The 9,002-nt window shown below is 40.4% G+C and overlaps 2 annotated features.

Moving 5' to 3' along the window:
- Positions 5,605–6,104: an enhancer, noted in NCBI's record as "H3K27ac hESC enhancer chr4:129536375-129536874 (GRCh37/hg19 assembly coordinates)". NCBI's record gives its function as "activates a minimal SCP1, AML or CMV promoter by ChIP-STARR-seq in primed H9 embryonic stem cells {active_cell/tissue: H9 hESC(primed)}" and the evidence as "EXISTENCE:reporter gene assay evidence [ECO:0000049][PMID:30033119]".
- Positions 6,105–6,606: an enhancer, noted in NCBI's record as "H3K27ac hESC enhancer chr4:129535873-129536374 (GRCh37/hg19 assembly coordinates)". NCBI's record gives its function as "activates a minimal SCP1, AML or CMV promoter by ChIP-STARR-seq in primed H9 embryonic stem cells {active_cell/tissue: H9 hESC(primed)}" and the evidence as "EXISTENCE:reporter gene assay evidence [ECO:0000049][PMID:30033119]".

Here is a 9,002-nt window from a genome sequence, read left to right as displayed (position 1 = left end):
TCACCTAAGGTCAGGAATTCCAGACCAGCCTGGCCAATATGGTGAAACCCCGTCTCTACTAAAAATACAAATAATTAGCCGGGCATGGTGGTGCATGCCTGTAATCCCAGCTACTCGGGAGGCTGAGGCAGGAGAATCAGTTGAACATGGGAGGCGGAGGTTGCAGTGAGCCAAGATCATGCCACTGCACTCCAGTCTGGGCGACAGAGGGAGACACTGTCTCAAAAAAAAAAAAAAAAAAAAATTCAAGTTCTCTGTTCTAGCTACTTTGAAATATACAATACATTGTTGGTAACTGTAGTCATCCTGCTCTGCCACTGAACATTGGGGGTTATTTCTTCTAATCAGCCATTATGTTTTTGCCCATCAACCTCTCTCTATCCCCCCTTCCCACCCATACACCCTTCCCAGCTGCTGTATCTATTCTGTTCTTTATGTCCATGAGATCTTTTTTTTCAGCTTTCACATATGAGTGAGAAAATGCAGTATCTGTCTTTCTGGGCCTGGCTTATCTCACTCAACATAATGACCTCTAGTACCAGCCATGCTGTTGCAAATAACATGATTTAATTCTTTTTTATAGCTTAATTGTATCCCATTGTGTATATATAGCACATTTTCTTCCTTTCCTTTTTTTTTTTTTTTTTCAGCAGCAGCAAGATTTACTGTGAAAAGCAAAAGAACAAAGCTTTCCATGGCATGGAAGGGGACCTAGCGGGTTGCCCCTGCTGGCTCCGGTGGCCAGCTTTTATTCCCTTATTTGGCCCCACCCATGTCCTGCTGATTGGTCCATTTCACAGAGTGTTGATTGGTCCATTTTACAGAGTGCTGACTGGTCCGTTTTCACAGAGTGCTGATTGGTGCGTTTACAAACCTTTAGCTAGACACAGAGCACTGATTGGTGCGTTTTTACAGAGTGCTGATTGGTGCATTTACAAACCTTTAGCTAGACACAGAGCGCTGATTGGTGCGTTTTTACAGAGTACATTTTATCAATTCATCTATTGATGGACAATTAGGTTGATTCCATATCTTTGCTATTGTGAATAGTGCCATGATGAACATGACAGTGCAGGTATTCCTTTGACGTACAGACTTCTTTTCCTTGGATAAGCACCCAGCAGTGGGATTGCTGGATCATACAGTAGTTCTATCTTTAGTTTTTTGAGAAATGTCCATACTGTTTTCCACATTGGTTGTACTAATTTACATTCCCATCAAAAGTCTGTCAGAGTTCCCTTTACTCCACATTCTTGCCAGCATTTGTTATTTTTTGTCTTTTTAGTAATAACCATTCTAACCAGCGTAATATGGTATTTCATTGTGGTTTTGATTTGCATTTCCCTGATGATTAGTGATTTTGAGCATTTTTTCATATTTCTGTTGGCCATTTGTATGTCTTCTTCTGATAAATGTCTATTCATGTCTTTTGCCCACTTTTTTTTTTTTTTTTTTTGATGGAGTCTTGCTCTGTCACACAGGCTGGAGTGCAGTGGCGCAATCTTGGCTCACTGCAACCTCCACCTCCTGGGCTCAAGCAATTCTCCTGCCTCAGCCTCCTGAGTACCTGGGATTACAGACACGTGCTACCTCACCTGGCTAATTTTTGTATTTTTAGTAGAGATGGGGTTTCACCATGTTGGTCAGGCTGGTCTCAAACTCCTGACCTCATGATCCGCCCACTGCAGCCTCCCAAAGTGTTGGGATTATAGGTGTGAGCCACTGCACCTGGCTCAGCTTTGTTCTTTTTGTTCAGGGTTACTTTGGCTATTCTGACGCTTTATTGGTTCCATGAATATTTTAAGATTGTTTTTTCTAATTCTGTGAAAAACAACATTTGTATTTTGGTAGAGATTTCATTGAATCTGTAGTTTGCTTTGGGCAGTATGGTTGTTTTAATGATATTAGTTATTCTGATTCATGAGCATGGGATGACTTTTTATTTGTTTGTGTCCTCTTCAAGTTCTTTCATCAGTGTTTTGTAGTTTTCCTTGTAGAGATCTTTCACCTTGGTTAAATTTATTCCTAGGCATTTTTTTTTTGTAGCTATTGTAAATGAGATTGCTTTCTTGATTTCCTTCTCCCGTTGTTCATTATTGGTGTACAGAAATGCTACTGACTTTTGTATATTGATTTTTGTATCCTGCAATTTTATTGAATGTGTTTATCAAATCTAGGAGTTTTTTTGGTGAAATCTTTAGATTTTTCTAGATATAAGATCATATCATTGGCAAAGAAGGACAATTTGACTTCCTCTTTTCCAATTTGGATCCCTTTTATTTCTTTCTCTTGCCTGATTGTTCTGGCAACGATCTTGAATAGGAGTGGTGAAAGTGAGCATCCTTGTCTTGTTCCAGATCTTAGAGGAAAGGCTTTCAGCTTTTCCCCATTCAGTATGATGTTAGCTGTGCGTTTGTTGTATGTGGTCTTTATTATTTTGAGGTACGTTCTTTCTTTTTTTTTTTTTTTTTTTTTTTTTGAGATGGAGTCATCTTGTTCTGTCACCAGGCTGTAGTGTGGAGTGCAGTGGCACAATCTCGGCTCACTGCAACCTCTGCCTCCTGGGTTCAAGCGATTCTCCTGCCTCAGCCTCCCTAGTAGCTGGGACTACAGGTGCACATCACCACACCCAGCTAATTTTTTTATTTTTATTTTTTATTTTTAGTAGAGACGAGGTTTCACCATGTTGGCCAGGATGGTCTCAATCTCCTGACCCTGTGATCCGCCCATCTCAGCCTCCCAAAGTGCTGGGATTACAGGCGTGAACCACACCTCGCCTTGAGGCATGTTCTTTCTATGCCTAGTTGAGTTTTATTATGAAGGGATGTTGAATTTTATCAAATGCCTTTTCTGCATCTATTGAGATAATCATATGGTTTTTGTCCTTCATTCTTTTGATGTGATGTGTGTTGTTTATTAATTTGCATATGTTGAACCATCCTTGTGTCTCTGGTATAATTCCCACTTAATCATGTTGCATTACCTTTTGATCTGTTGTCAGAGTCTGTTTGCTAGTATTTTGTTGAGAATTTTTGTGTCTATGTTAATCAGGGATATTGGCCGGTAGTTTTCTTTTTTCTGTTGTGCTGTCTAGTTTTGGTATCAGGGTAACACTGACCCCACAGAATGAGTTAGGAGGAGTTCCTTTGTCTTTAATTTTTTGGAATAGTTTCAGGAGGATTGGTATTAGTTCTTCTTTATACATTTGATATGAATTGGCTATGAATCCATCCAGTCCTGAGCTTTTCTTTATTGGGAAATTTTTTATAACTGATTCAACTTTGCTATTCATAATTGGTCTATTCAAGTTTCTGATTTCCTCCTGATTCAATCTTGGTCGGGTGTATGTTTTCAGAAACATCCATTTCCTCTAGGAACATACATCCATTTCCTCTAGGCTTTCCAGTGTGTTAATGTATGGTTGTTTATAAAAGTCTCTGATGATCTTTTGTATTTCTATGGTATCAGTTGTATAGTTGTAATGTCTTCTTTTTCATTTCTAATTTTATTTGGGTCTTCAGCTAGCGGTTTATCAATTTTATCTTTTTTAAAAAAACAACTGTTTCATTGATCCTTTGTATTATTATGATTTTTTTTTTTTTTTTTTTGAGACAGAGTCTCGCTCTGTCCCCCAGGCTGGAGTGCGGTGGCGCCATCTTGGCTCACTGCAAGCTCTGCCTCCTGGGTTCACGCCATTCTCCTGCCTCAGCCTCCCGAGTAGCTGGGACTACAGGCGCCCGCCACCACGCCCGGCTATTTTTTTGTTTGTTTTTAGTAGAGACGGGGTTTCACCATGTTGGCCAGGATGGTCTCAAACTCCTGACCTCATGAGCCACCCACCTCTGCCTCCCAAAGTGCTAGGATTACAGGCTTGAGCCACCACGCCTGGCCTATTTATTTATTTATTTATTTTTTTTTGAGACAGAGTCTTGCTCTGTTGCCCAGGCTGGAGTGCAGTGGCGCGATCTTGGCTCACTGCAAGCTCTGCCTCCAGGTTCACGCCATTCTCCTGCCTCAGCCTCCTGAGTAGCTGGGACTACAGGCACCCGCCACCACGCCCGGCTAAGTTTTTTTTAGCAGAGATGGGGTTTCACCATGTTAGGCAGGATGGTCTCAATCTCCTGACCTCATGATCTGCCTGCCTCAGCCGTCCAAAGTGCTGGGATTACAGGCGTGAGCCACCATGCCCGGCCTTGTATTTTTTTCATTTAGACTCTGTTTTATTTAGTTCTGCCCTGATCTTTATTACTCTTTCACTAATTTTGAGTTTCATATATTCTCACTTTTCTAGTTCCTTGAGATGTCTCCTTAGGTTTTTATTTGAAATCCTTCTCTTTTTTTTTTTCTTTGAGATGGGGTCTCACTCTGTCACACAGGCTGGAGTGCAGTGGTGCAACCTTGGCTCACTGCAACCTCTGTCTCCCAGATCAAGCGATCCTCCCACCTCAGCCTCCAGAGTAGCTGAGACTACAGGTGTGTGCCACCATGCCTGGCTAATTTTTGTATATTTTGGTAGAGACGGGGTTTCACTACATTGCCCGGGTCTCGAACTCCTGAGCTTAGGTGATCCACCCACCTCAGCCTTCCAAAGTGCTGGGATTACAGGCATGAGCCACTGCACCTGATCCTGATTTTTTTTTTTTTTTTTTGAGACAGGGTCTCACTCTCTTGTGCAGGCTGAAGTGCAGTAGAGTGGCATGATCTCAGGTCACTGCAACCTCTCTCTCCTTGGCTCAAGCAATCCTCCCACCTCAGTCTCTTGGGTAGCTGGTACTCAAGTGTGCACCACCACACCAAGCTAATTTTTTGTATGTTTTGTAGAGACATGGTTTCGCCATGTTGCCCATGCTGATCTCAGACTCCTAGGCTCAAGCAATCTGCCCATCTCAGCCTCCCAAAGTGCTGGGATTACAGACATGAGCCACTGAGCCCAGCCTCCATTTTTTTGATTTAGGTGTTTATTGCTATAAACTTTCCACTTAGCATTGCTTTTGCTGTATCCCATAGATTTTGATATGCTGTGTTTCTATTTTCATTTGTTTCAAGAATATTTTTTATTTCCATCTTACTTTTTTGTTGAGTCAATGGTTGTTCAGGACTGTGTTGTTTAATTTCCATGTATTTTTATAGTTTCCAAAATTCTTGTTGGTATTAATTTCTAGTCTTATTCCACTGTAGTCTGAGAAGACAGTTGATATAATTTTGATTTTAAAAAAAGTTGAGACTTGTTTTGTGGCCTAATATATGGGCTATCCTGAAAAACATTCCATGTGCTGATGAGAAGAATGTATATTCTGTAGTTGTTGGATAAAATGTTCTGTAAATATCTGTTAGGTCCATTTGGTTTAAAGCGCAGATTAAATCCACTGCTTCTTTGTTGATTTTTCCATCTAGATGATCTATCTCATGCTGAGAGTAGGGTGTTGAACTCCCCCACTATTGTTTTATTGGAATGTTTTTCTCTCTTTAGATCTAGTAATATTTGCTTTTCAAATCTGGGTGCTCCAGTGCTGAGTGCATATGTTTTCAGAATTGTTATTTCATTTTGCTGGATTGCTCCCTTTATCACTGTATAGTGACTTTCTTTGGTTTTGTTTGTTTGTTTACTGTTTTTGACTCAAAGTTTGTTTTATCTGATATAAGTATAGCTACTCCTGCTTGCTTTTGGTTTTCATTTTGTGTAATATTTTTTTTCCATTTCTTTACTTTAAGTTTATATGTGTCTTGGCAGATAAAGTATATTTCTTGTAGGCAGCATATAATTGGATATTTTTTCTTTATCCATTCAGCCACTTTATACATATTAAGTGGATAATTTAATCCATTTACATTTAAAGTTATTACTGATACATGAAGTTTTGAATGGCACTTGAGAAGTATTCAGCTGCCAACAGTGTTCAGCTGCCAACAGTGGCTGGGCAGGGCAACCTCCAGGCCCTTGGACAGCATGCTTGAGAACTGGAGGACAGGACCAGGATAGTGGACTTCAGGCTCTCTGGTAGTGTGTTCCATCACTGGTTATAATAGGCAAAGGCAGGTGGTCCCCAGGCTGTTGGCAGAATGCTCAGGTAGGGGCAGTGGTGGCTGTGCTGTGGGCCTGTCTCTGAGGAGGATGGGGCCACTCTCAGTGAGAGCAGTTTAGGAAGGCAGCTATGGGATGTGCAGTTCTCTCACCTTTTGGTCCAACAACAGACTGTGGCAGAGGAGGAAGTAAGATTTGTCGTTGGTGTGTGTAAAAGTGCCATCCTCCTCTCTTCTTTGACAGTCTTCTGGGGGCTGAGTGCTCAGAATGGTGCCATGTGGCAGTTGCTTGGGGCTCAGAAGCCTGTGGGACTCAGTGTGAGTGTTCTTTCTAAAGTAGTGCCTCTACACAATCTCTAAGTAGCTCTGTATGTTCGTCTGAAGCCCAAGAAGGTCAAGGTGCTTTCCTGTGGCTAGGAATGTAGAAGTCCATGGTGGGAATGTGGAGCCCTGGGGGTCATTCACTTACCCTTTCCCTATTTAAGGGAGGTTTTCTCAGCTTCCAGCTGATCTTGACCCAGTAGGTTGCCCTGCCTCCCTCTCCTTCTTTGCTTTTGATGCTTCCTACCACTTTCCTGTTGAATTCTAGTGTTTTCTCTTAGATGATCTATTTGAAGTGTGAATATCTACTTGCCATTTTTTTTCCTCTCCACAGAAGAGCTGTGTACTAGCCGCATTTAGTCAGCCATCTTAGATTTCTTCCACTGGTTCCTTGGTGGGTTGCTGACATCAATTGCTAGAAAAGCTTTTCCTCTTCCCCAGGGCCTTTCTGAAGAATTGTTCTATTTTTTTTTTTTTTAAAAGGGGGACTATGTTATTTAAAAAATGTCAACATCATAAAAGTCACAGACAGGCTTCAGGACTGTTCTACATTAAAATAGTAAATGGACATGACAACTAAGTACAATACTTTAGGTTAGACTTGATCCTGTTCTTGAAGGGGGAAAAATACCATAACAGATATTGCTTTAATTGACAAAATTGGCATATGAATTCCAGGGTAGATAAAAAGTATTTTATTAGGGTTAAATTTACTAAAGTTGATAACTATTCTGTGGTTAAGAAGAGAATAGCCCTATTTTTAGGAAAAAAGAACAGAGATATTTAGAAGAAGGTCATAATGATTCATCCAATTTATTTTCAAATGGTATAGAAACAATTCTGTGTGTGTGTGTATATGTACATATATATGTGCACACACATACATATATGTATTTATAATAAAAAGGAGAGAGAGATCAAACAAAAAAGCAAGTAGGATAAAGTATTAACAATAGGTGAATCTGGATAAAGGATATACAGGCATTCCATATACTATTCATACTTTCAACTTTTCTGTAAACTGGAAATTATTTACAAATAAAAGTAAAAAATAAAACAAAACAAAAAATGTTCCGTCCTTTCTCTGTTGTCTGAGGATGTTTAGTAGACCCTTCATAGCCTGGCTCTGGCTCCTTTCTGGCTGCACCTGCTACTATTTCCTTTCTCACACCCCAATAAGCAGCCCAACGCTTCCCATTCCCCAGAGTACACCTCTCTGCCTTTGCACCTCTAGTTTCTTATATTTGGAATGGTGTTCAGCTTCCTTCCTGCTCAGAAAATCCTCATTTCCTCAAGGCTCAGCTCAAAATGATCTCTTCCATGAAGTTCTCTGAAAAATCTTTTAGAAAGTTTTAAGCAAAGTTGAGGTGCTCAGAAAACTAGAGAGAGACACAATATGCTTTGTTTAATCAGAAATGTGCAAAATAAAAGGTCTGGAAAGAGTTGGGTAATTTTGTCTCATAACTTTCTTTTCACTTTTAAAAATTCTTGCATCATTCAGTACAGTTTTAAAGTCTTCACTCTACATGGAACTTCTATTTGAATCTTTCTACCATATTATAGTAAGTTATTTTATTTTATTTATTTATTTATTTTGAGACAAAGCCCCACTCTGTTGCCCAGGCTGGAGTGCAGTGGTTCGATATTGGCTCACTGCAACCTCCACCTCCTGGGTTCAAGCAATTCTCCTGCCTCAGCCTCCGGAGTAGCTGGGATTACAGGCACCCACCACCATGCCCCGCTAATTTTTGTATTTTTAGTAGAGACGGGGTTTTGCCATGTCGGCCAGGCTGGTTTCAAACACCTGACTTCAGGTTATCCATCCACCTCGGCCTCCCACAGTGCTGGGATTATAGGCATGAGCCACCGTAACCAACCTACAATAAGTTATTATTATTATTTGAAACGGGGTCTCACTCTGTTGCCAGACTGGAGTGCAGTGGTGCAATCTCGGCTCACTGCAACCTCCACCTCCCAGGTTCAAGTGATTCTCCTGCCTCAGCCTCCCAAGTAGCTGGGACTACAGATGTGTACCACCATGCCCAGCTAATTTTTGTATTTTTAGTAGAGACGGGGTTTCACCATATTGGCCAGGATGGTCTTGATCTCTTGACCTTGTGATCCACCCACCGTGGCCTCCCAAAGTGCTAGGATTACAGGTGTGAGCCACCATGCCCAGCCTAATAAGTTATTTTATATTACAACAACAATTTGTATATCTTATAAGATACCGTGCTGTATCATAATTATTTCTTCAGGTATCAGTTTCAGCAATCACAATGTGGAATAAGAACTATCTTATTTGTCTTTAAATCTCTTCCAACACTTTGCAAATGCCTAGCATGCAGTGGGCATTAAGCAAATTCAATGATCATTGTATAAAACAACCTAATTACCAAATTTGATTTAAACATGCATGTACATACAACTCTCAAGTTTAACATCACTATTATCCTAGCAAACAAATGGGAAAGGCTTAACAAAAATGTTTTCACTGGACTTACTCTTCTCGTGGGCAGTCTAATAAATAAAGTCCATTTTTTTTCAGTCCTCCTCAGGCAAAAAGACATGTAATATATGGGTAAATAAATGATTATAGACCCATACAGAGTGAAACCTTTTAACTACAAATTTACATAGAGCCAAATCTAGTTAGGGTC

This window comes from Homo sapiens, chromosome 4 (genome assembly GCF_000001405.40).
Source record: "Homo sapiens chromosome 4, GRCh38.p14 Primary Assembly".
NCBI classification, from domain to species: Eukaryota; Metazoa; Chordata; class Mammalia; order Primates; family Hominidae; genus Homo; species Homo sapiens.
The sequence above is the reverse complement of the archived record's forward strand: the minus strand, read 5'-3'. Positions and strand labels throughout refer to the sequence as shown.